The 27454-nt window shown below is 33.1% G+C and overlaps 1 protein-coding gene across 18 annotated transcripts in view; it reads left to right on the plus strand.

Annotated features, from left to right (window-relative positions):
* The window catches only part of USP47 (ubiquitin specific peptidase 47), a 119916-nt gene that overhangs the window by 70209 nt on the left and 22253 nt on the right, over positions 1-27454 (plus strand). For 13 of the 18 annotated variants that reach the window (NM_001372093.1, NM_001372094.1, NM_001372100.1 and 10 more), the window contains 10 exons: positions 7976-8071; positions 8162-8314; positions 10544-10711; positions 17254-17385; positions 17864-17940; positions 18516-18571; positions 20824-20936; positions 21651-21755; positions 24123-24330; positions 26077-26192. In NM_001372093.1, coding sequence (NP_001359022.1) covers positions 7976-8071; positions 8162-8314; positions 10544-10711; positions 17254-17385; positions 17864-17940; positions 18516-18571; positions 20824-20936; positions 21651-21755; positions 24123-24330; positions 26077-26192 — 1224 coding nt within the window. The remainder of the gene's footprint in view (positions 1-7975; positions 8072-8161; positions 8315-10543; positions 10712-17253; positions 17386-17863; positions 17941-18515; positions 18572-20823; positions 20937-21650; positions 21756-24122; positions 24331-26076; positions 26193-27454) is intronic. The other 5 variants (NM_001372095.1, NM_001372091.1, NM_001372099.1 and 2 more) reach the window with 3 other exon arrangements.

Here is a 27454-nt window from a genome sequence, read left to right on the forward strand (position 1 = left end):
AAACCCAAAGCAAGCGGAAGGAAGGACATAATAAAGAAAAGCCGAGAAATCAGTAACATTGAACATGAGAAAACAGTAGAGGAAGTCAACAAAACAAAGGGCTGGCTCTTTGAAAAGACAATAAAATTGACAAATAGCAAGACTGACAGAGAAAAAGGGAAGGCAAAAATTTCCAGTATCAGGAATGAAAAGGATATAACTATAGATCTTGCAGATATCAAAGGGATCACAACAAACAACTCTGCACATATAAATTTGACAACTTAGATAAAACGAACCAATTCTTTGAAAAGAACTCAATAGGAATTAGATAATTTGAATAGTCCTGTAACTGTTAAGGTAATTACATTTATAATTTAAAACCTCTTGAAAGGAAATCTCCAAATCTTGATTGTTTCACTGGATACTTGTATCAAACATTCGAAGAACAGTGAACACCAGGTCTGTACAATTTCTTTTCAAAAAAAAAGAAAGGAAGAGGAGGAAACCCATAGTCCTGTGACACTATTCTTACCTGATATTAAACCAAGACAGTTCTTAAAAAAAACAGTATCCCTTATATGTGTAGTTGGTAAAATTCTTTCCAAAATATTAGCAAATGGAATTAAGCAATTTATAAAAAGAATTATATATTGTGACTAGGATTGATTTCCGGGATTCAAGACTGGTCAGTATTTTAAAAATCAATGAGTATAATCTTCCATATTAACGAGCCAAAAAAGAAAATTCATATGATCATATCGATTTAGAAAAGGTGCTTAATAAAATTCAAAATTCACTTATAATAACTCAGATTACTAGGAATAGAGGGAAATTTCCTCAACTTGATTAAAAAACGTATCTAAAATATCTATAGCTAACATCATACTTCATTGTGAGAGACTGCTTTCTTCCTAGGGAATGGCACGCTTGTCTAGGCAAGGATGTCTGCTCCTACCACTCCTTTTCAGCATAGTCCTAGAAGTCCTAGCCAACACAGTAAGGTAAGAAGAGGAAATGAAAAGCACTACTAAAGGAAGAAATAAAATTGTCTGTATTTTTAGGTGATATGATTATCTATGTAGAAAATCCCTTGTACAAAAAAAAAAAAAAAAAAACAACACCTGAACTAATACGTGAGTTTAGCAAGGTAGCAGGATAAAAATAACATAAAAAATAAATTGTATTTCAAGATACTAACAATGAACATGTAGAAAGTGAAGTTTAAAATACAATACCATTTATAATTTTGCAAAAAGAAAAAAGATGGAAATCCAACAAAAAATGTACTGGACCTATGTGTTCAAAACTACAAAACTTTGAAAAGATTATGTTAAATAAGCTAGGACCAGAAAGACAGATATTACATGTTCTCATTTACATGTGGGAACTAAAAATAAAGCTGATCTCATGAAGGTAGAGAGTAGAATGGTAGTTACCAGAGGCTGGGAACAGTGTGTTTGAGAGAGGCGGGGATAAAGACAGGTTGGTTAATAGGTACAAACATACAGTTAGATAGAATCAGTAAGTTCTAGTGTTTGAGAGCAGATTAGAGTGACTATAGTTAACAATATATTGTGTATTTCAAAATAGCTAGAATAGAAGATTTTAAATGTTCCCAATACAAAGAAATGGTAAATGTTCAAGGTGATGGATATCCTAAATAGCTTGACTTGATTCTATGCATGTATCAAGTATCACATGTACTTCATAAATATTTACAGTATTATGTGTCAAAAAAACTTTGAAAAGAATAAATGGAGAAACATACTGTACTTATTAATTGGAAGATTCAATATAGTAAAGATAATTACATAGTCTTAATGCAGTTCCTGTCAAAGTCCAGCAAGATTTTTTGAGGACATATACAAGCTTATTCCAAAATGTATATGGAAGCCTAAGAAACTAGAATAGCTAAGAGTTTTCAAAAATAAAAATAAAGTGGAAGTTACCAGTCTACATGATTTGGAATGGAATACTACTTAGCCAAAAAGACTTATTATATGGCTATAGTAATCAAGACTATGTGATATTGGTAGAGGGGTAGGCAAATAGATCCGTGGAGTAGAATAGAAAACCCAGAAATAGATCCACACAAATATGCCTAATTATTGACTGAGACACAAAAGCAAGTCAATGGAGGAAAAATGGTGTTTCCAACAAATGGTGATGGAACAACTGGACATCCATATCACAAAAATGAACCTTGACTTAAATGACTTTATACAAAAATTAACTCAAAATGGGTCATAAACTTAAATGTAAAATGTAAGACTATGTAACTTTTAGAAAAAACATAGGAGAAAGTCTTCCAGATCTGGGCTAAGCAAAGAGTTTTTAGATTTGCTACCAAAAGTACAGTCTACAAAAGGGACAATTAGCAAACATTAAAATTAAAAATATTTACTCTCTGAAAGCCCATATGATAAAGAGAATCTCCAGACATATTTGCAAGCTGTCTATCTGACAAAGGACTCATATCTAGAATATATAAAGTACTCTCAAGACATCAGTTTAGAAAAATTCATCTAGACAATTGGCAAAAGACATAACATTTCATTAAAGAGGATATACAAATGTCAAATACAGAAAAGATACTCAACATTGCTGGCTATTAGGGAAATGCAAATTCAAACCATAATGAATATATTATTCTTTACCTGCCAGATGGCTACAAATAATGACAGCATGGAAATCTGGTGACTATGTGGAGAAACTGTATCACACATACACTGCTGGTGGGAATGTGAAATGTTATGGGTAGTTTCTTATAAAATGACACGTGCAGTTACCATAAACTCTAGCAATTGAACTATTGGTCATTTATCCCAGAAAAATTGAAATTTATGTTTACATGAAAACCTGTGCACAAATATTTATTCCATCTTTGTTTTTAATATTCAAAACTGGAATCAGCCCATATCTGCTTCAGTAAGTGAATGGTTTAACAAACTGTGGTTCATACAAACCATGAAATAGTACTTAGCAATAAAAAGGAACAAACTATTAATAAACACAAAAACTTGAAAGAATATCCAGGGAATTATTCCGAGTGAAAAAAGCCAATCTCAAAAGGTTATTACATACTTTATGATTCCATTTATGTAATACTTTTGATATGACAACCTTTTAGAACTGTGGGACAGATTAACCATTACCAGGTCTTACGGATTTGGTGGGAGCAGGGAGAGGAGAAGCAGGTGGTTGTGGCTATAAGAGGGTGGCACAAGTTATCCTTGCATAGGAACTGTTCAGTCTTTTGACGGGTGTTGAATATATGAACCTCTACAGGTGATAGAATTGTATGGAACTTAATAGACACATATACACAGGCAAATGAGTGCACTAAAGCTGGGAAAATCTGAATTAGATAGGTGTATGAATGCCAATATCATGGTTATGATATGCCATAGTTTTGCAAAATGTTTCCAGTAAACTGGGGGAAGTGTACAAGAGGTCTCTGTATGTTATTTCTTACGATTGCATATGAATTTACAATTATCTCAAAAGTTTCAATGAAAAAAAAAGTAGACAGCTTAGGTAAAAGTATATAGGCCTTTTCCTAGTTAAAAAGTAGTAATGTTAAAGTATATATTCGGGAAAGACAGTTGAATATATTTTTAAGGAAAACATCATGTTCCTGTATATCAGTAGTACCAAAATTGCTTAGTACATCAAAATCAGGAAATAATTCTCAGTGGTGGATCTACTTTCTTTTTTTGTTCATGTAAAAATTGAAGTATGGTGTTTTAACACTCATTTCTCTATTCAAAATTAAGTAGATTTTAATTGATGAATAATTCATATGTACACATAAATGGTTAAAAAAAGGATTTATAGGCAATACCATTCCTTGCATATACCTTTTGATTGCACTGTGCCTGGATTATTTGCATTAGCTCTAAAATTGGAATAACCCGTATTGTTTTTGATTGGAGAACTAAGGATGTAAGAATTCTTTATATTCTATCCTGAATTCTGAAAATTATAGTGTAAAAGGATGTGCAGGCTGGGCATGGTGGCTCACGCCTGTAATCCTAGCACTTCGGGAGGTCAAGGCAGAGGATTGCCTGAGCTTAGGAGTTTGAGACCAGCCTGGGCAACGTGGTGAGATCCTGTCTCAAATAAGTAAATAAAAAGATGTGCAGAATTACATTTTGCATAATATATGGGGAGCAGTAAGATCTAGAATATGAAACTGTTGTCACTCTGGAATTATCAACATGGTACTCTGACTGAATTAAATATTCTCAAATGAGCAGAACAAAACCTGGTATCCAAAAACTTAAGCAAAGAAATAGATTTAAAAAACAAAAACAATGCTGTAAGAAATGAAGTGGGAATTCATCAAATTCAGGAAAGAAACAGAAGAAAAAGACAAAAATATCTTAGAAGTGAAGAATAAATTAAAAAATGCTCAAGAGAAAATAGAAAGAAGATCTAATGAAGGACATTGAATGGAAATGAGATTTTTGTAAAAGTAAAAAGGATCTCAGAAAAAAAAAATTGAAAGAGAAGACCAGCAAAGGGTGTCCAACATAATTGGAGTCTGTGAAGAAGAAAAATAAAACAGTGGACCAGAACTAATAGATAAACTGTAATTCAGAGAAAGTTTCTGGGAATAAGGGAAATGTCAAGTCTACCTTTTGAAGGACCTGGAATGATAAACTCTGAGATGTATTTTAGTAAACTATTAAAGATGAATTGAGGCCAGTCACAGTGGCTCATGCCTGTAATTCCAGCATTTTGAGAGGCTGAGGCAGGAGGATCCCTTGAACCCAGGAGTTTGAGACCAGTTTGGGCAACATATTGAGACCATGTCTCTACAAAAAAATAAAAAATCAGTTATCAGTTGTGGTGGAATGTGCCTGTGGTCCTAACTATTCAGGAGGCTGAGGTAAGAGAATTGCTTGAGCCAGGGATTTCAAAGCTGCAGTGAGCCAGCACACCACTGCATTCCAGCCTGGATGACAGAGCAAGACCTCATCTGAAAAAAAAGATGAATTGGGTTGGCATCATATTTCAGAAGAACAACATGCAAATCCTGCCAACAGAGTAGCAATTTCCAGAAATTCAAGAAAGTACCAGCCAAGGATTTGATAGCCAGGCAAGTGTTTCTTAATTATGACAGCTATAAAAAGACAAGTTTGAATATTCAGGAACTCATTGGGTATTATATCCATGAGCCATTGAGGAGTTCATTAGAGGATGAGCTTAACCCAACCAAGAGATCACGGGCAGCTTCGGCAAAAGAACTGTGAGCACTTACTATATTAAATTAAGGCCTAAATACAAGGGTGGGAACACGGGAACAGCAGAGTAGTATGTAATGTTACATGTTAGACAAAGTACAAATAATACCACTTTTTAGAAGGGGGAGAGAAAGGGAGAGCAGAATAAGATCACAGACTGTTGTGTGGGTGGGGAATAAAGGAGACCATTTAAAACTGGCAGACACTGAAAGCTTAAGAAAGAGTAAACAGGGTGGGGGTGGGTGGGAAAAAAAGAGGTCCAAGGACACTAACAAAACTATAAATGCAAAAGTAACTGTAGAATAAAATTACAAACCTTGCTAAATACCAAAAGAAAATGTAAAAAATAACAAAGGAACACAATAAATATTACCTAACACACACAGTAATTACACAGTAGTGACTGAGATAGGACCAAGCATACCAGTCATATCAAATATGAGTGGGCTTAAATTGCCTATTAAAAAGATTTTCAAGTTGGTTCAGAAAGCAAACATTAAAATTTGATTTAGGCAGGAATCTGTAAGTGGATGTTAAAATCAAGGGTGGAAGATTTGGTAAGGCTCAGGATTTTTGCATGGTCTCCAAGTATCTCCTTACAGATTGCTTATTAGCCGCGAGAGTAAAAATAATAACTATATGGTAGAGAGACTGGACAATACCTTGACCAGATAATTAAAGCTAATATCACCAAAGAGAAAGTTAGGTACATCATGGCCTGTGACTATGCTACCCTTAGAAGGGCACATCTTTGCTAATGTCATAGTAGCCTAGCAAGGAATGTATAAATCTAATAATGAAGAACATCAGACAAACCCAAATTGCAGAACATTTTATAAAATAAGTGGCCTCTGTTCTTCAAAAAATATCAGTGTTATGAAAGAAAGGCAAACTCTGGAATGCCTCGAGATTAAAGGAATCTCAAGAGACCAAACAAAATCTGTGGCCTTGAGACAGATTGTGTACTAGATGGAGAGAAATACATTGTTAAGGTAATTGACAGAATTGGAATATGGCTGATGAAAGTACTTTATCAGTATTAAATTTTCCAGAGTTTGATTACTGTTTGTGTAAGAATATCTTTATTCTTAAAAAGTCATATTGAAGTTAAGAGGCAAAGCATGATGAGGTGTGAACCTACTCTCAAATGGCTAAAACAAAGATACATAATAATGTTGGGTTGGGCGAGGGAAAGCAAAATTGGCAAAAATGTTTAAAAGTTGATGAATATGAGTAAAGTATTTGAGAGTTCTCTGTTCTTTAAACTTTTCTCCAAGTTTTAATTTTTTTTAAAGATCTCTAGGTATTAACTATAAGCCGGAGACCAATACACACACACCAAAGTAGAATTTGAGTTACATAATTATCTCACTCTCCCTCTCCCCCCATCCTTTTTTGAATATTGAGTTTTTACCAGTTTAAATTACCACTATTTGGAAAGCCTGACATTTAGTATCAGTCTGTGTTAAGCTATAGATGTAATTTCTTTAAAGCTTGTTTTTCTGTTGTTTTTTATAGAACTTTCCTTTTTCCCCCAAAAATATGCCTGAGAGGGAAAAAAAATTTTTTTCTAAATGTGTCATTTGACCACCAATAAAATGCATGGTCATGTGGAAAAAAACCCAGCCGTTTGGTTTCTTCACTTGTTTCCTTGTGTTCTGAGAACAAAATAGGGGATCAGATGGGTTTAGACACCTTTGAATATCTATGTCTTTTCTTATTTTTATCTTGTTCCAAAGTGAGCTCTATCAAACAATATGTGGACAGTAGTTTTCTAAGCTTTGCCAGATATTTTGCAACTACGACCATTAAGCTCCTTTATCTTTTGAGGAACAGCTTGTCCTATATCAAAAGAAAAATATTTGAAGATACTGTCTTAATGATTCCATTTCTTTTAGTTTATGTGTAATATTATCAGTAGTTCTGCTTAGCCCATGTGTGAAGAAAAGAGAGAACATCAGATGAAATTTGAGATTATGCGTCCAATCTTATATGCTATATTAACTAATTTTTTAATCGTGAAAAACCAATTACTAAAATAAAAATTAACTTTATGCCACTGATTCTTTAACAGTATTTATATGAAGTTTCTTACTTCTGTTGTAATGCTGTATGGAGAAAAGAGAACCACGTGGTTCTACCAAATTAACAATCCAGGATCCTCATTATACATTTCCAAATGGAACAGTATCTCACACACACACAGAAGGTTGCACAGTGTTTTTCAATCTTTATAACTAGTGCAGTGGCAGATTACTGACTGATCCTAACTATGGCGATTAAGGATGCTTACATGATTTTTAAGTGTATGAAAAGTGTGAATTCTTTAGAGAACATTGATATTTACTGTACAGTTTTAAATGCTTCCTTTTATAAGAAGATTGATGCATGCAACTGCTTTTCTTAGAAGTGTGGAATTACTTTTTATCTAAGGACTGAGGATATTTTTAGAGATTATTTAGCCAAACACTGCAATGTAAAGTCAATGAAAATCAGGTTGAAATGACTGTGATACTGCAATACTAAGAAAGGCAAATCTTGTGTAGAATGAAATAATTTTTTTTGCTTAATTTTTATAGTGATAATATTATTTTACTGTTGATAATTTTCCTTGGTACATTTTGAGTTCCTAAATTTCTAACCATTCTACTTATAACTTTTAGTAATTACAGTCTTTTTTATTCAGGATTTTGTCATTAATATAATATTTTAAGTAATTATAAAACAAATTTTTTTCTAACTAGGAAGAAGCATTGCATGCATTTATTCAGCCAGAGATTCTGGATGGCCCAAATCAGTATTTTTGTGAACGTTGTAAGAAGAAGTGTGATGCACGGAAGGTAAATGCCATGTAGAGATTAATACTTAGGAATCTGAGATAATATTCCATATTCAATAGACTCTCCCCCTTTTTGTTGTTTGTTTTTTAGGGCCTTCGGTTTTTGCATTTTCCTTATCTGCTGACCTTACAGCTGAAAAGATTCGATTTTGATTATACAACCATGCATAGGATTAAACTGAATGATCGAATGACATTTCCCGAGGAACTAGATATGAGTACTTTTATTGATGTTGAAGATGAGGTAAATATTTGTTATTTTAAAGTATTTTTCATTAATCCACATTAGTCAGTCATGGTTTTGAAAGAGCTGTTTGAGGTAATAACACTGATGTCATTTGGACTGTCTTCTTGATGGAAACTTTTTCTTTCTTATTTTCTAATGTGGAATTCAATAAAATGATTTACCTTTGTATAAGCTTTTCCTGACTGCATAAATTATATTTTAAATATTCTTGTTTGATCAGAGTAACTTATGATACTCTTTGAAAAGACAATAAGGAACTCAGCTTTGGAATTATTTCTTGAAGTTGAGTGATAATCTTATATTTTATAATTTCGTCGTTATTGAAACCAGCCTGAAGGTAAGCCATACTCATGTTTCTGATCTATAATAAATGCAGACAATGCCTATGATGGAATGAATGAACCAACTGAATAGCATGGGCTTAATTTCTTGTACTTACCTACTATTTTGTATTTACTATTTGTCTGTTTTCCTTTTTTAGTTTTTTTAATTTGAAACTTTATTTAAATAATTTAAGCATGGGATTTGAAGTGACACATGATGTAATGCTTATCAATTTCTTCCCACACTTTGGCCTGCCAAAATTCTCTGGTTCTTCTATCCTTATTCAATGAAAGACTTACAATATTCCACTCTATTATTTTGGAAACTCTTCTGATTTTATTATGTGGAATACTTATAATCACTTAGGCTAATTATTTCAAAGTGATTTATTCTCAGAATTACCCTGAAGCGTTTTTTTTTTGTTTTGTTTTGTTTTGTTTTACTGGAACTGATTACTATAGTTATAAAAAATGCCTTTTCCCAGGAGTTCAAAAATAATTTTAAACATTCACTAAGTTTTATTTAGTACTATTGAGTACTATGAGGCAGTTTGGTGTAGAAGAGCACATGTTTTAGGCATAGCTAGATGTGGATTCAAATTCTTGTCCTGCTACTTGCTAGCCTCTTGACCTTGGATAATTCATAAAACCTTTTGAGCCTCATTTCCAGATGCCATAGATGAAGTAGCTGTTCATTGAATGGTAACTATGATCAATAACATTTTGAAAAGTTTAATTTAAAATAATGTCTCAGACAGTTGCGCTTAAGCTAGGAAATCTACCCAAAGTGTGCCAGACTTTGAGAGGAGACATAATCTTTGTAGGATTTCTACTCAAATAGAGATCAGTAGTAGATTGGTCTTCTGAATATGCCTAATATATTTCTCATAAAGGAAAATTTTTTCCAAAGAAGGAAAACTTATATATGAAGCTTAGTAGAAACTTCCTAGAGAATTCTAGGTTTAGTTCTTGGGACAAGAAATGTTTTGGCTCAGCTGAAGAAGTTTCAGGAATTATATCTCTTTGGACTTAGATCTATAGCTGGATTTCATCTCCATTTATCCTTGAACCTAACCTTCTTGAGAGATGAAGACTGTATATTAGATGTAGTACCTACAACAAGAGTTCCTGGCAAAAAGTTTGTGCTTATTGTATATTGCTTGGTTTCACTCAAGAACTTCTATGCAATGCCTTATACATTTCAAAAGCCTGCATCTTAGAAAATTCTCAAATTATTTAAATAAAAACATTTTTAGAGATGTATATAAAACGTTAAAGGGGGAAAGGATTGTTTGGGGGTTTCTAACAAAGAGAATTCTTCAAATTAAATTTGTGTGAATGTGGTTTAAAACCATAAAGTAGAAAAGTATAATGTGCTGTAACCATTATATTTCTACTTCCTGTAAAAAGACTATCAAGTTCTTAAGGATGAATACAATGTCTTGTTTCTCTTTCTAATTATCTGTAATACCTAACGCACTGATAAACCGAGTTGGACTTTTTGTTCAAGAAAAGAAATTATATTCTTTCCTGATTTGAGAACACCAGAAGCTCATTTTGGAGCTCAGCTTCTCTGATTTTGTGGATTTTGCTAAAAGAAATGATAATTTCAACCATTATGTTGTAACAGTAAACATAAATGAGGTTTAATAGAATTCTGAATCACTAATTTGTTGTATTAGAATTTTAAGGACATGATAGAAATGCTTTTAAAATACACTGTTGCTTGTTTAATTTTACTTAAGGTCTCAATTTTTAAGAGAAAATAAATGTACTCAAAGTAAAATATTTTTACTAATATGTTAAATTGTGTGAAAATATTAGCAGTATATAGGTACAAAGTTTTGTTGAACATATTTTCTCTGTATATGGTTTATAACTAAGATAATTATGTCTTATTAAGAAATCTCCTCAGACTGAAAGTTGCACTGACAGTGGAGCAGAAAATGAAGGTAGTTGTCACAGTGATCAGATGAGCAACGATTTCTCCAATGATGATGGTGTTGATGAAGGAATCTGTCTTGAAACCAATAGTGGAACTGAAAAGATCTCAAAATCTGGACTTGAAAAGGTACCTTTTATAGTTTGCATTTTTTAGTTGAAAGTGAGAATAATCTCTGACTTCCTATATAATTCTATAGCTGTTGTGACTGATAAAGTTATCTTTAAAAGAAACTTAATTTTTGAAAGTTAAGACTTCTCAAATATAGTTTTTTTGTACATATATATATATATATATATATATATATATATATATATATATATGACTATAATTAAACTTCAGGAAAAACTGCTTACAGGTAAGAACATTAATTTTTGGGAGACCATACTTTAAACTGTCTAAGCAAGCTGGATGGTACAGAAACGATGCCTAGTAGTCAAGAAACCAAGATTCTATTACCACCTCTGCCTTTAAGGTTGCAGCAAGTGTCTATAAATTTTGTCTGAGTTTTCCTATATAGAAAAGTAAAATGTTGGATTAGTCATTGATTTTTAAAAGTCTGGCCATGAAACACTTTATGAGACAATTAATAATAGATCTGATCTTTCTGAGTAGGGAAATGCCAAAGCCCCCTAGTCTTTCTTCCCTGTCCTGCGATAGTCCTCAAGACACTTTGAAAAATGGTATAGTTCTATGGATTATCATTTGAAAACCACAGAATTGGATAATCTCTGGGATAGGATCTTGCCCCTGTGTCAATAACTTTAAGGGTTTTTTAGACCATTTTTTTCCACATATATTCTGTTTTATTGAGGGAAAGATTATAGATAAAACGTCTTGAGCATGGTGTGAATAATAAACTCCTAATGTGAAGACTGATCACTAACTCAGGTATTACAGAGTCATTAAATATAGGGATTTTTAAGGCAATATTTAAAAATAGAGTTTTACTTTCATAAATCTGTTTTTAGACCAAGGCCATTCTTCTAATTATCACCACCACCCTTTACTTTTTAAAATTATCTGTTTCATTCAGGGCAGACAGTTGAGCAGGGATTGCTATGTAATGAATAATGTAATAAGTACATTGTAACTGAGTATAGAAACATGGCATTCTAGCAGGAGTTGGCAAACTATGGCTCAAGAGCCAAATCTGGGCCCTTGCCTGTGTTTTTACATACACTTTCATTTCATCTGCAAATAAAGACAGTATTCTTCCTTTCCCATCTGCATGCCTTTTTCTTGTCTCACTGCACTCTGTGGGACTTCCAATGCAGTGTTGAATAGAGTGGTGAGGGAGAACTTCCTTACCTTGTTTCCAATCTTCAGAGGAAAGCTTTCAGTTTCTTATCATTGAGTGTGATGTTGACTTTCAGTTTTTTATGTTCTTTTCCTACTTTGTTGAAAACTTTTATCATGAATAGGTATTGGATTTTTCCAGATTTTTTTTTCTATGTCAGTTGATATGATCATGTATGTAATTTTCTTCTTCAGCCTGAATTACATAGATTGATTTTCAAATGTTAAGCTGTCTTTGCATACCTGGAATGAATCCTGCTTTGTCATGGTGTGTGTTTCTTTTTATACTTTGTTGATTTGATTTGCTAATATTTTGCAGAGGATTTTTGCATCTGTGTTCATGAGATGCATTGATCTGTAGTTTTCCTTTCTCATAGTGTCTTTATCTGCTTTTGGTGATGTTGGGCTCATGTAATAAGTTAGGGAATGTTCCCTCTGCCTTTATTTTTGGAAGAGATTGTGGAAACTTGGTATTGTTTCTTAAATATTTGGTAGAATTCACCAGAGAAATTATCTGGGCCTGGTGCTTTCTTTTTTAGAAAGTGGTTAATTATTGATTTAATTTCTATAATAGATATAGGACTTTTCAGGTTACCTGTTTCTCCTTTGTGAGTTCTGGTGGTTTGTGATTTTTAAGAAGTTGGTCTGTTTTATCTGTGTTATCAAACTTGGGGGCATAGAGTTGTACAAAGTATTCTTTTATTGTCCTTTTAATTGTCCTTTAATGTCCTTTTAATGCAGGGATGAACCTTCTTTCATTTCGGATACTGGCAATTTGTGTCGTCTTTTTAATCTCGGTTAGCCTAATTAGAGATTTACCAATTGTATTGGGGTTTTTTTCTTCCAAAGGACCAGCTTTTGGTTTTGTTCACTTTTTCTGTTGTTTTCCTATTTTCAATATTGATAAGGATTGCATTGAACCTATAGATCACTTTGTATAGTGTGGACATTTTAACAGTATTAAGTCTTCCAGTTCATGAACAGAGGATGTCTTTCCATTTATTTGTGTCTTTAATTTCTTTCCTTGATGTTTTTTTGTTTTAGTTTTTGGTTTTTTTTTTTTTGAGACGGAGTCTCGCTCTGTCGCCCAGGCTCCAGTGAAGTGGTGTGATCTCGGCTCACTGCAAGTTCCACCTCCCAAGTTCACGCCATTCTCCTGCCTCAGCCTCCTGAGTAGCTGGAACTACAGGCACCGGCCACCACGCCCAGCTAATTTTTTTGTATTTTTAGTAGAGATGGGGTTTCACCATGTTAGCCATGATGGTCTTGATCTCCTGACCTCATGATCCACCCACCTCGGCCTCCCACTGGGATTACAGGCGTGAGCCACCGCACCCGGCCTCCTTAATGTTTTATGGTTTTTCACTGTATGAGTCTTCTGCCTCCTTGGTTAAGTTTATTCCTAAGAATTTTATTCTCTTTGACACTATTGTAAATGGAATTGTTTTCTTAATTTTCTTTTTGGATTGTTAGTGTTAGTGAAACAATAAATTGTTAGTATTTAGAAATGCAACAGATTTGTGTGTGTGTTGATTTTGTATCCTGCACTTTTTGTTGAATTTACTTGTTAGGGTTTTTTTTTTTATGCGGAATCTTTATTTTCTACATACAAGATTGTCATCAGTGAACAGAAATAATTTTTCTTCTTTCTTTCCTATTTGGATATCTTTTATTTCTTCTTGCCTGATTGCTGTGGCTAGGACTTCCAGTACTACGTTGAACAGAAGTGGTAAGAATGGGCATCTTTGCTTTGTTCCCAATCTTAGAGGGAAAGCTTTCCGTTTTTCACCATTTAATATGATGGTAGCTGTGGGGTTTTCATATAAGGCTTTCATTATGTTGAGGTAATTTCCTTCTATTCCTAGTTTGTTGAGTGTTTTTATCATGAAAGGATGTTTAATTTTGTCAGATGCTTTTTCTTTATCAATTGAAGCGATCCTGTGGTTTTTTCATTCTGTTAATGTAGTGTATTACATTGATCACTTAGTCATGATGTATAGTCCTTTAATGTGTTACTGAATTTGGTTTGCTAGTATTTTGTTAAGGATTTATGCATGAATATTCATCAAAGAGATATTGTTCTATAGTTTTTAGTATCTTTGTCTAATTTTGGTATCAAAGTCACGCTGACCATATAGAATGAGTTTGGAAGTTTTTCTCCTTTTTACTTTTTCAGAAAGTTTGAGAAGGATTCGTGTTAATTCTTCAAATGTTTGATAAAATTCTCTAGCAAAGCAACCTGGTCCTGGGGTTTTCTTTGTTGGGAGGTTTTTGATTACTGATTCAATCTCCTTACTAGTTATAGATGTGTTCAGATTTTTTATGTCTTCTTGAGTCAGCCTTCATAAGCTGTTAAACGTTTGTAGAAATTTATCCATTTCTTCTAGGGTATCCAATTTGTTGGCATATAATTTTTCAGTCTCTTATGATCCTTTTTATTTTTGTGGCTTCAGTATAATGTCTCCTCTTTCATTTCTGATTTTTGTTATTTGAGTCTTTTCTCTTTCTTAGCCTAGCTAAGGGTTTGTAAACTTTGTTGATCTTTTCAAAAAGCCAGCTCTTAGTTTCATTTTTTTTTCCTATTCTCTATTTATTTCTGCTCTAATCTTTATTTCCTTCCTTCTGCTAACTCTGAATCTAGTTTTTTTCTTCTTCTTCCTCTTTTTTTACATCCCTCCTTCCCAACTTAGTTTGTTCTTCTATTTCTGGTTCCTTGTGGTATAAAGTTAGGTTATTGATTTGAGATGTCTTCTTTTTTTTTTTAATGTAGGCACTTACATCTATAAACTTTCCTCTTTTGTTTCATTGCATAAGTTTTGGTATGTTATGTTTTTGTTTTCATTTGTCTCAAGATATTTTCTAATTTCCTTTGTGGTTTCTTCTTTGACCCATTGGTTGTTCAAGAGTGTGTTGTTTAAAACAACTTACACATATTTGTGAATTTTCCAGTTTTCCTTTTGCTATTGATTTCTAGTTTCTCTCCTTCACTTTTAAAGGATTATTTCTCTGGATATAGAATTCTAGGTTGGTGGTAATTTTTCTTTCAACATGAAATATTTCATTACACTCTTCTTGCTTGCATGGTTTATAATGATAAATGTGCTATAATTCTTATCCTTGTTCCTCTATAGGTAAGGTGTTTTTCCCCTCTGCCTCCCCTGAAGATTTTTTTGTCTTTGGTTTTGTTCAGTTTGAACATGATATGCCTAAACATGGGAGTTTTTGTTTTTTGTTGTTGTTTTGGTTTTTGGTTTATTGGGCAGGATGGGTATTTATTCTATTTGGTGTTGAGCTTCCAGGTCTGTTGCTTAGTGTTACCAGTTTTTGTAAATAAAGATTTATCAGAACACATTCACTCTGGTTGTTTACATATTATGTATGTCTGGTTTTGTACTATAATGACAGAGTTGAGTAGTTGCGACAGAAACCGTATGGCCCAGAAAGCCTAAAATACTCACTCTTTGACCCTTGCATTAGTGGGCCAAATGATCTAGATTTTAGTTCTTACTTTGCTATTAATAAACTGTATCACTTTGGACAAATCATTTAATCTGTGTGCCTTTCATTTGCTACATTTTGGAGGAATTTGGACTAGGTGCTTTCTGTTCTACGCAGATCTAGAAATTTGTAATTCTGTTTGCTAGTACCATGTTTGAAGATGTATCCCCTTTTAATTAGGAGTAATGTATTGCTTTGTTAAATAGTAGTAAAAGAGAAGAAAATGTTAGGACACGTTTTTATGTAATTTTATTTACAAATTATCATGCTACATTTGGATGAAGGCACTTTACTTTCCTTCCTACTTTTTGGCAATGTATTTGTGATTTGAAACTAAAATTATTGCAATTGGGAACCCTTACTCTGTCATGACTGTATTATCTTTGCTTTAAAATAGATATATACAATTCTAATTTGGAAGGTGATTCAGTCTTCTGAATATATCACCATTATTGTCATCTAGAAGTTGCTGCTATTAGAATTTTCCAGGAAGATAATTATGTTGGCTTTGATCATTATGATGAAACTTAAAAAATGTATAGCTGTTGGTTGGCAGACTTTTTCTGTGTTTATTTTTTTTCTAAATGGGGAGACTGCTTATGATAAGATATTCATATCATTCAGTGATATCAAAATTTTGTCTAGTGTATTTACTACATTCAAAGCATTTTAATTTAATAACATGGGGTTACCACATTTCATAAGTTGTTCAATGCTTTAAACACATTTTGGATTGCAAATAAATTCTGAAACTTCCTCCCTATCACCACTGTAATTAATTTTAGTTTTAGGAATAAAATTTGAACCACAAAACAAGTTTTCAGACATTTTCAAAATTTGTTCTAGAAATTTCACTAATTAACAATATATTGTGGTCAGTTTAAAGTTATTTTAAGATAAATTAGAATTTCTTGAAAGTTATAGAAGGCTCTACAATGCTTTTTAGGAAAAGAATAAAGAAGAGAAACCCTAGTACTTGTAGAAAAGTAAATAAAATAAAGCTTGTCTGTCATAAACTGGAAATCTTCTGATGTCAAATTGCCTTTTTAACCTCCTTCTCTGTTTCTGTCTTCCTACCTGTTCTTTTTTTGTGATAGAGTTACTGGTTTGCAGAGTCTCTAGTATCTCAAACTGTCTTAGGAGTTGTGAAGTACATGGGCTTCTGAAAGAAAAGATTGTCTTAAATATAAAAATAAGTCATTATAAATGACCTCTTTTTTTTAAACAAGTTGCCTCTTTTCTTGATTTTCTTCCACAAATACTTAAGTTTGCCTAAAATAATCTTTAGTTCCAAACTTTAAAGAATTGTTTGCAGAACAGGAAGCTAAAGAAATAATATTAATTTATTGTAGATATAGTATAATTCAGGATTCATTCTTAATATGAGAGAACAAATCAGTAGATCATGATATCACAGATAATGCATAAATACATTAGAAGATGTTCCAAATAATTATATTCCTCAGCTCTTTTGTAAAGGAAATAGAATTTGAATAAGAAACAGTATGTTACTTCGGATTTTTTTTATCGACTGTGTATTTTAGAACAGCACTGTAATTAGCATCTGCTTCTGAAATTTTAGACTATTATTTAATTTTTACATATGTAAGTTTATATTTACAGATATATATGGTTTCAAAGGTTATAGCATAATTAAAATGTGGAAGAGTGCACTGATGAAACTTGTGTAACTTCTGGTATATACAGTTGTTTGATAACTTGCCATTTTTGTTTTACCTTAGGGGAAAGTTGACCTGTAATATATAGGACAACTTACCATGTTACTTCTCTGTGTGTTAACAGAGAATAGGAAATACACAAATAAGGGTTGTGTTTTCCTTCTCCTCTGAGTTACTTTTATTTTTTCCCCTTAGAATTCCTTGATCTATGAACTTTTCTCTGTTATGGTTCATTCTGGGAGCGCTGCTGGTGGTCATTATTATGCATGTATAAAGTCATTCAGTGATGAGCAGTGGTACAGCTTCAATGATCAACATGTCAGCAGGGTAAGGAGGTGTCCTTTAAGATTATTACTCTGAAAGGTGGGAGTAAGGATGTTTCTAAACAACAGTAAAGTTTATTAAGAATGAGTGAATCTGTCTAGTGATACATCTTAAGACCCATATCAAATCTGTCTTTAATTTTTGCTTTTAGTAAAGTTCTTGCCTTTGTTTATTATTTCTTTGTTTTGCTTTGTTTTGTTTGGGGCTTGCTGAATATCTCCAGAGATAGACTACCAATTTTCCTCTGGGCCTGAACCTTCATAGGTGCTACTTGTGCTTCACGTGTGATTAGGAATACTAGAACTGGCTGGCTGGTAAGCAGCCACTGATTATGATTAAATTTTGTGAATTGGTAGCTGTGTGAGCAATCATGAAGGTCTTTGATAGCATTTAACTCTGAGGCTAAAGATTGAGTTACATATTGACGTTAATGTGATAGTGTTATAGAATTTGCAAAAAAAATCATGTAACACATTTTCAGATAACACAAGAGGACATTAAGAAAACACATGGTGGATCTTCAGGAAGCAGAGGATATTATTCTAGTGCTTTCGCAAGGTAAGCAATTTCCTAATTTTCAGTGTTTAAAAGTTAGAATTAATTATAGCTTCTCAGTGTTTTTTTATCATCAAAGATTTAACCAAGGGATTGAGGAACTACAACCCATGAGCCAAATCCAACCTGCCTCCATATTTTGGAAATAAAGTTTGAACACTGACATAGCCATTTGTTTCTATATTATGTGTTAATGCTTTTACACTATAATAACATAGTTGAGTAGTTGCAGCACAGACCATATGGCCTGCAAAGCCTGTGATTTTTACTATTTGGTCCTTGCTGGAAACAACTTGCTGGCCCCTGACTTAACTGTTGTATGTAGACATTCCAATACACAGTTTTGTTAAAGACTTTACTGTATTACCAAGAGGAGATACGGAATCTTCTCTAAATGTGATAAGAGGAAACAGATTTTCCTCTTATCTGGAATGTTTTAAATCTCAGTGTGTCTGTGAACAGTGACATGATTTTCTAATTGTTTTTTAAAAAATCACAATTTAAATATTTCATGCTTAGAAGTGGAATCTTTTTAATCTACTTTTTGTCCTTATTAATCTTTTTTATGTTTCTACTAGTTCCACAAATGCATATATGCTGATCTATAGACTGAAGGATCCAGCCAGAAATGCAAGTATGTTTACCTACAGTTATTTGATTTTAATTTGTGTTATAAACTAATTTCTTTTGTAAGTTTGCAAACCCAGATAACTACTTTTAAATGATAGGATAATTAAGTTGTTTTATGCCTGGAAGAATTATTTACAAAGACTGTTACAAAATAATACCAAATGTTAAGGACCTTGAAAAAATGTTGTTGAATTATTTTTTAATATATGAAGAGACAAAACTACATTAAATAAATTGAATGTTTATTAGTAGTAAGATTATATTATGTGCAGTCTGATGTAGGGACGATAACATTTTTGGAATTATTGCTTTTAAAATATTGCAGTGTTTGTTTTTTCTTGCTAATTCTGACTCAGGCTGTATTACAAATATCTAGGGGGGTGTGTACAGATACATATACAGGTGATGTGTTTGCTCATAGTCTTTTCATAATTAAAAAAAATATAATCACAATCTTTGATTTCAGTATATTTCCTTTGTTTAGACACTACCGTTGCTATTAGTAAATCTGTTTCAAGCATTATGTTTTTATTCACATTTTTGTAAACCCTCATTAGATGGTGAATTCAATTGGTACAAGGCTTAGGACTTACTCATCTTTTCACATAAAGTATATTCTAGGATCTGTCATATAGTAATGTTCAATAATTTACTATGGAATTATTGAAAAAATAAATGGAAATTATAGTAAGTCATTTCAGAACAGAGATTTAAGAGCAGAAGTAATCATTTGTACTGTATTATAAAGAAACTACCCCAAAGAGTAAGCTGACCCAGGTCATAGCTATCTGGAAGCAGAGCCAGTATTGTAATTCATGTCCCTCACGTGGACCCAACCTTCCAATAGTGCAATAACTCAGCCTTCTTTTACTCCCCCAACTCTAGTTTTGTTATAAAGCACCAGAGGGCGCTGTATGACATGACATGGAATATTTTTTAAATTAGAGTTCTTTCCTAGAAACAACAGCTTTTACCTTTTACGGACACATGCTGTTTTTGATAAAATTTTTTTCCCCTTTTTAATGCCAAATAATCATTGGCTTTATTAAATGGTGTCATAATTTCATATTGTCCCTTTGAATGCTTTGAGTTACATATGAAGTTGTAATTATTAAGAAAAACTTTCGTAAAAATGATTATATGTGAGTCTATAGTAATGATTTTTTGCATATACTTTATTCTTTTAACTAATTGTTTAAAAGTAGCCTCACAAATTATATCAGGCTGTCCTCGCATTGCTATAAAGAAATACCCAAAACTGAGTAATTTATAAAGAAAGATTTAATTGTCTCACAGTTCTGCAGGCTTTGCAGGAAGCATGATGCTAGCATCTGCCCAGCTTCTGATGAAGCCTCAGGGAGCTTTCAGTCATGTCAGAAGGCAATATGGGAGCAGGCATTTCACATGGCAAAAGCAGGAGCAAGCAAGTTCCGGGGTTGGGGGAGGGGTGCCACACACTTTTAAATGACCAGAACTCATGAGAACTCAGTATGGCAAAGAAAGCACCAAGCCATGAGGCTTGACCCAGACATCTCCCACCAGGCCCCACCTCCAGTATTGGGGATTCCAATTCAACATGAGATTTGGGCGAGGACAGATGTCCAAACTATATCACATAATCATCACTTTTTGTATTCAAATGAATCTTGACCATATAGAGAGGGAGAAATCCAATAGATGAAGGTGTCAGTTTTATGACTCTGCATTCTTTGGTTAGGAAGCAGCTAAAGACTGCTTTGAGAACACAGGAAAGATAATAGTAAACAAATGGGTAGTACTCAGTAGCAGCAACAGCAGCAGTATTTATTAAGTTTTATTGTATCTCAGGTAGTAACTTTATGGGGTAGATGATATTAATAAGCTGAAGAGACCTACATTTGGAGAAGTAAACTTGCCCAAGGTCACACAGTTTGATGGGGATGGCATGATTTGAAGTCAGAAATTATTTTCAAGTTGCAGAGAGCTTTTTCATTCTAAAATATTAATCCACATACTGGAGTTGTTCTGGAGCCAAGAGCCATTTTGAATAAATACATGGCTCTTTAAGATATGGACCTAACCATGTGTCCCTGTTAACTGTCTCTTAACCCTTTTCTGGACGAAGCTTGTATTCCAAGTTGAGAGAAGGATGTAATGGAGATATATCTCCATGAGTGCTACAGTAGAAGTATATACCATGAGAGCATAGTGAAGCAGGATGAATAAAGGCAGCTCAGTTTCAGTGACACTGTCTTATCCTGTTTTTATTACTAATAGAATTTCTAGAAGTGGATGAATACCCAGAACATATTAAAAACTTGGTGCAGAAAGAGAGAGAGTTGGAAGAACAAGAAAAGAGACAACGAGAAATTGAGCGCAATACATGCAAGGTTGAATTCCATCATTTTATTTTTAATTGAAAGTGCTATTTTTAAGCTCGCTTACCTGCAATTCTAATGACTAACTCATTGGGTTGATTCTGAGACAATTATGCTATCATGATCATTGAACAGTGTAACCAACTATACTATAAAGGTAAAATTTGATTTGATTTGATGTGTAAAAACCCAGTAACATGTAGTGACGGTGCTCAGTGCTGGTGAAGCCACAGTTGAGGTAGACACATTCTCTTATCCTACTAAAAGAAAATAAATCCGTAAAAACTGGATAGAAATTGAGTAGTATTTATCAAGAGCCTTAAGCAAAATCATATTTTTTAATATAATTTCTCTTATGGAATTACCTAAGGAAATAATCATAATTACTGTAATAATCTTGATTACAGGGATATTCATTATAGCATTTTCCAAATTAGGGAAAAATTGGAAACAACACAAATGTATATTGGTAGGGGAATGATTACATAAATATGATACATGCTTATAAGGAAACATGCAGTTGTTAAAATTAATGTTTTTGAATTTTTGTATGGTGTGAGACATAACTGGTGTCAATTACTAAGTGAGAAAGAATAGATAGAAGAGTGATCTCAATTATGTTCTTTTAAAAAATTGCAGTATTTTGACAATTAGGAATAAATGCTATCTACGGAAGAATTGAACTTTGGAACTGCAGAGTTGATGATGATATTTTACATTTTCTAGATAAAATTATTCTGTTTGCATCCTACAAAACAAGTAATGATGGAAAATAAATTGGAGGTTCATAAGGATAAGACATTAAAGGAAGCAGTAGAAATGGCTTATAAGGTATGTTTAATTGCATCATTGGCATTTACTTACTAATACAACAGTATTAACATAATTTCCCAAGTTTTTATAATGGATAATAGTTATATAAACACTGGCAGTAACCTTGGTAACTGGTTAATTTATCTCTTACCGAGTATATTTATACCTCTCCTTTGGAGCATAGTCAGTTGATTTTGAAAATTTTCTCCCTCTGGAAGCCATTTGAAGTTTCTAGATCCCAGAATTAAAATTAGGAACAGAATGTTTATTTGCTCTTTCTATTCATTTAACATACATTTCATGAGTGTTTACTATATGAAACATTAGAGATATTAGAGTGAATAAGATAACATGAGGTGTTAGAGATACCAAAGTGAACAAGGCGTGGTCACTGCCTTCATGGAGTTTACAATCTACTGGAAAGAACAGACAAAACGTACTTAAACATCACAGTTTGCAATTATTTTATTATTTAGATGCTATAAATACATTAGTAGTAAATTGAGAAAATTTATTTTGAAACTTTAACCATGAGAAAGGGAGACAGCGATGCAAAAAGTTGAGGAAGAATATACTGGTCCATAGTCAGATGCGTTACCCATTCCATCACTGGCCCATGCTCAAGGAAGAATATTCGAAGTAGAGTGAACAGCATGTGCAAAAGTGCTGAGGTGAGGAGATGCTTGGCACGTTTAAGAAACTGAAGAAAGGAGCCATATGTTTAGATTGTTTTGAGTGAGCACAGAGTACCATAAAATGAAATTAGAGATTTTGTGAAATAGAAGTTTACGTTTTGTTCTCTAAGAGTAGTGGAAAGTTATTAATGAGGTTTGAAAGGCAAATGGGGTCACTGCTGTTTCACCAGATCATTCTAAATGTCATTTATGATACTTAACAAATATAAGTTTTCCCCTTTCCATATAAGCAGTAACAGAATGACTGAAATTAAACAGTCATTACCTAGAGAAAAAATTGCATACTACATCATTTTGTGTATAATTATATGTGGAACCAATAACATAACTAAAAATAACACACAAGATAGCTGACATTGTTTCTGAAAGTGTGATCCAGTGCAATCTGCACCAGAGTCACATTCTTATTAAAAATGCTAATTGCTGCAGATGAATCAGAATTTCTCTGTTGGAGCCTGGAAATAGGCATTTTAACACATATCTCAGGTGATTCTTAGGCATAGTCAAGTTTGAGAATCACTTATATTATACATCTGGTCCTGCATAGCACTTATCAGTATTGAAATTTTACATTTAATTGTTTGACTATTTTAATTAATATTACTGCCCCTCACTAAACTATAAGCACATACAAGTGCAAAAACCATTCTGGTTTTGCTCACAGTTTTATTTTTAGTACTCTTCCCTGGTATATAGAATAGTCAAAATTGGTTGGGTATGTTGAATGGATAAATGAATGAACAAACATTAAGATGGATGGATGGCTCTGGATTTGCTTCATTTTGGTAAAAATTCTTTAAATATAATGGTGGACTGCAAGCATTAGTCTTGAAAATAGGAAGTAAAAGTTCGCAAATAAAAAGAAACAAACAAACAGAAAAGAGAAATAAGTCAATCTTATATGCCAAAAATAGAGCTTCATTGTTGGGGATGGGGGTTGGGGAGGAGTAGAGATCAATGGGGATACGCTGAGGCTTACAAGTCCTTCTTGAAACTCATAATCACAACCTTAAATGAACATTGAATACTTCTAAGCAATCCTACTGTGTTTCTCTAGGAGGCTTATTTCCTATCAAGAGAGTTGTTGCAACCAGGGTATGTCATCTATTGGTGACATAAGCTATAAGGAAATGTTATGATAGAAATTCCTATACCATGAGCTTTAAGTATTCTGGAGGCTAATATTGAAAGGGGATATCGTAGAAGCCAAACCCTTTGTGATGGCTTTATGAGACATGCTGTCCTCCTGTACTTAGATTGTTACTAGTTACATGAATTATCAATTCTACTCCAGATTGGATTAAGAAAACAAAAGGTGCATATTCTAGTTGGCTGTTTGGTTGTTTTCCTCTGTGTTTCCAGATTAGTTGATTATGAACAATAGTTACAATACATTGATTTTGTTTCTACACCTAAAGTTTATGATGTTAACTTTTTAAAAAATAAAAAATGTATTTAGTACATGCTTTATATGATTGGAGGGATAATGAAACATAATTATTTAAAAATAACATTTAAGTTGTGCCTGTAACTTTGATGTCTTTGATGCAAATCATAAATGTGTGGATTTTGTTAGGGCCTATTGTAATGTTATTCCCCAACAGACTAAAACACTGTGTATTTATATATGTATATATATAAATATATATGTATATATATTTTTTCTTTCTGGGGGATTACTTTCTTTTAGATGATGGATTTAGAAGAGGTAATACCCCTGGATTGCTGTCGCCTTGTTAAATATGATGAGTTTCATGATTATCTAGAACGGTCATATGAAGGAGAAGAAGATACACCAATGGGGCTTCTACTAGGTGGCGTCAAGTCAACATATATGTTTGATCTGCTGTTGGAGACGAGAAAGCCTGATCAGGTTTTCCAATCTTATAAACCTGGAGGTGAGCAATTTTACACTATTTTTAGTTGTTCTGTACTTAGAATTTTCATGAGAAAGTTTTTTTTTTTATTGTAGAAATGAACATAATTTAAATTTTGTATATGGTCTTAAAATGTAGAATAATTTTGACAGGTTGAGAAGTACTCAGCAACAGCTTGGAATTAAGTTCTAGATTACTTGCAAAGAGTTGTGTACATAATTTTAAAAACAACAAAAAACAACAAAGCTTCTAGCTTACGGTCTTCAGTGGGTTTTTTCTTCTCCAGTGGGCGGTACTGAATCATTCTGGATGCTGTCAATCCCTAAAGTTATCAATTGCTCTCTTAGGAAGATCTCTCTTTCTCTTTCTTTCTCTTTATGGAGAAGACCTTGGTCCAAAAAAGTATATTCCCATAAAGTCTCAGAAGTAGAGGCTGTTTTTCAGGTCTTCTTTGGAAGGGTGGATTCATTATCCCATCACTGTCAGCATTTACAATTTTTCGTCATCCTCTCTATTTCTACAGGTCCCAGGGACTTCATCTTTTCTTTCTTCATTAAATCTATCACATTCACTCAGCACATTGAGTTTGTTATTTTTTTTTCTTTGAGACTGCTTAGGAAAACCAAAATATCATGCCCCTAGTTTTCCCAGAGACAGTTTCCCTATAGACAGTTACATGGTCTGTTTTTGTCCAGAGTTTTCTATAATTACCATATGTAAATTGTAACAAATAGAAGAAAAGCAGAATGTTTATATAATTTTACAAAATCCATACTGTTTTGTCTTGGCCCTAACTCCTTTGCATCAGTGGTTAGTGAGAATTAGGTTCTCTGTGTTTTTTCCCTAAAAGTTGAACTTACAAAACTTTATTCTGCCCTTTTACAATAATGTTCTTCTGTGGATCCTGTATATCTCCTTTTTAAATGAAGGCCTCTGTTTACAGAGTAGGTTAGATGTAGTATTCTTTCAAGGAGTCTACGGCTCTTAAGTGGGAAAATTTTATTTCTGGAAACCTTATGATGTCTACTTCGACTTCTAAGACTCTACCCTATCTATAAAGAGTCCCTTAAGGACATTTCCTTGCTTTTTTTTTTTTTTTGCTAGACAAGAAAAAGAATGATTAGGATATAACATGAGTCAGCAGTAATACCACTTATTTGAAAGAGAACTCTAAATGCAAGTGTGGATTGTAAGACTTATAAAGTAGTCTTTATTCATTAATAATCAAGATCTTAGCAGAATATTTTGTCAAATTTAGATTAACAACGTAGGGAAAAAACTGAGGATTGACATAAAACATGAGGTTAAAACAGATACAGAATAACTGTGTATTAAGTACAATGTTTGAAGATCATTTATTTTTCAAGTGATTAAGAGTTTAATTGTAAACATAACCTTCTGAAAACAGAAGAGAATGGGATTAAATTTCAATATAAAAGATTTAAGTGAGAAAACAAAGGCATAATCAGAACAGTTTTTGTGTGGAATTTTCCTTGGGATATAGGAAATATTATTTTGAGGATAAGTCTTTGATGATGAACAAGGTGGCTTAATAAGGGGTTTGTTCAAAAGCAAGCAGGAGTGCTGTGTCACCTTTAATATTTGTTTTGCAGTAACTGGTGATTTATATTTATTCAGTGTTGTTTTCATCTGTACTTGGAAGTTTGGATTTGTCACCTGTTAGAAACACATTAAGAATGCATTACTCATGTGAAATACATTAAAAAATAACCTCCAATTCTGTGTTTATGTCTTCAAATGTGACAGAAGTGATGGTGAAAGTTCATGTTGTTGATCTAAAGGCAGAATCTGTAGCTGCTCCTATAACTGTTCGTGCTTACTTAAATCAGACAGTTACAGAATTCAAACAACTGATTTCAAAGGTAAGTTTTAAAAGGGGTCTGTAAATAAATTTTTGAGAGCCTGCTATGTACAAGACACACTATGTGACAGTTATGAATAAGATACATGCTTTACCTCCAGGAGCTAATTAATATTTGTAGTTAGGAGACAACTGTAGTTAAAAGAAACAGATTGAGTAAAGTGTGGAGGTAAGAAAGTGTAAGGCAAGTACATATAACAACTTATATGTGTTGGCTGGATTATCATAAAATACAGGATTGGAAATGTAAGTACAGTTTATTTCATGAAGAGCTTTAAACAGTAAACACGAAAGTTTGGGCTCCTTTTTGGCGTAGGCAATAAGTCGAGTTTTTGTTTTCGTCATTTTTAAGTGCGGCAATGCTGCATTTAGTGTCTGGTGACACTAGACTAGCGTTCCACATGCCTTGAGGGGAGTCAGGAATGGAGAGGAGGAAGCTGTTGAAATAATTCAAGTGCAGTTGTATGACTGGAAATGAGAGAAGGCATGGATTCCAAGAGAGATAGAATCTGTAGGACTTGTAATTGTTAAATGTTGGGGTAAAGCAGATGCACCGATGACCTGAGCCAGGGGTTTCAAACTTGGGTAACCAGAAAAGTAGGGATACATTAATAGAAATAGAGGAGGAAGGTGAGGCTGTAGACTTGACAGGGAAGGTGATGAATTAAATACTGGTGCCATTATGTGAGCTAGTGATAAAGAACATAGGCTCATTCCGATTTTTTGAGCTGGAAAAATATAACAATGAAAACATTCAAATTTTGGGGGGCAAAAGGATTAGTCCACACCAGACAAATGATTATCATCCTTACAAGGGTCCTGTACTCTGCAGAACCCTGAGCATACAAACGGCAGATTTTGCAGGGTTCTTGAACCGTAGGTTAATATTCCCTGGTGTAGTGGAAATTGTTCCATAATTACAAGTTGAGTCCAGTTTTCAGTCATTCATCTTATGGTAGTCTTGTCTTTCATCTCATTATCTGGGGTTGTAAATACCTGTTTAGCAGAGTTGTAGTGAACATTAATGAAAAATAAATAAATGCTCTGAGGAAAAAAATTGTAAGGCATTATGTAAGAGTTGGTGGTTATTATGTTCTAAAAAAAAGTCTATATTTTGACTTCTGTATATGACTTCTAACAATTTTGCTAAAGTAATAACCAAGAAACAAATCATTTTGTGAAATTATATTTTATGATTAAATTGCTTGTAAATGCATACTATGTTGGTATAATATACTGTATATTACATTTTTAAAATATGAA

The sequence above is a fragment of the Homo sapiens genome, chromosome 11, assembly GCF_000001405.40.
Source record: "Homo sapiens chromosome 11, GRCh38.p14 Primary Assembly".
Lineage (NCBI taxonomy): Eukaryota > Metazoa > Chordata > Mammalia > Primates > Hominidae > Homo > Homo sapiens.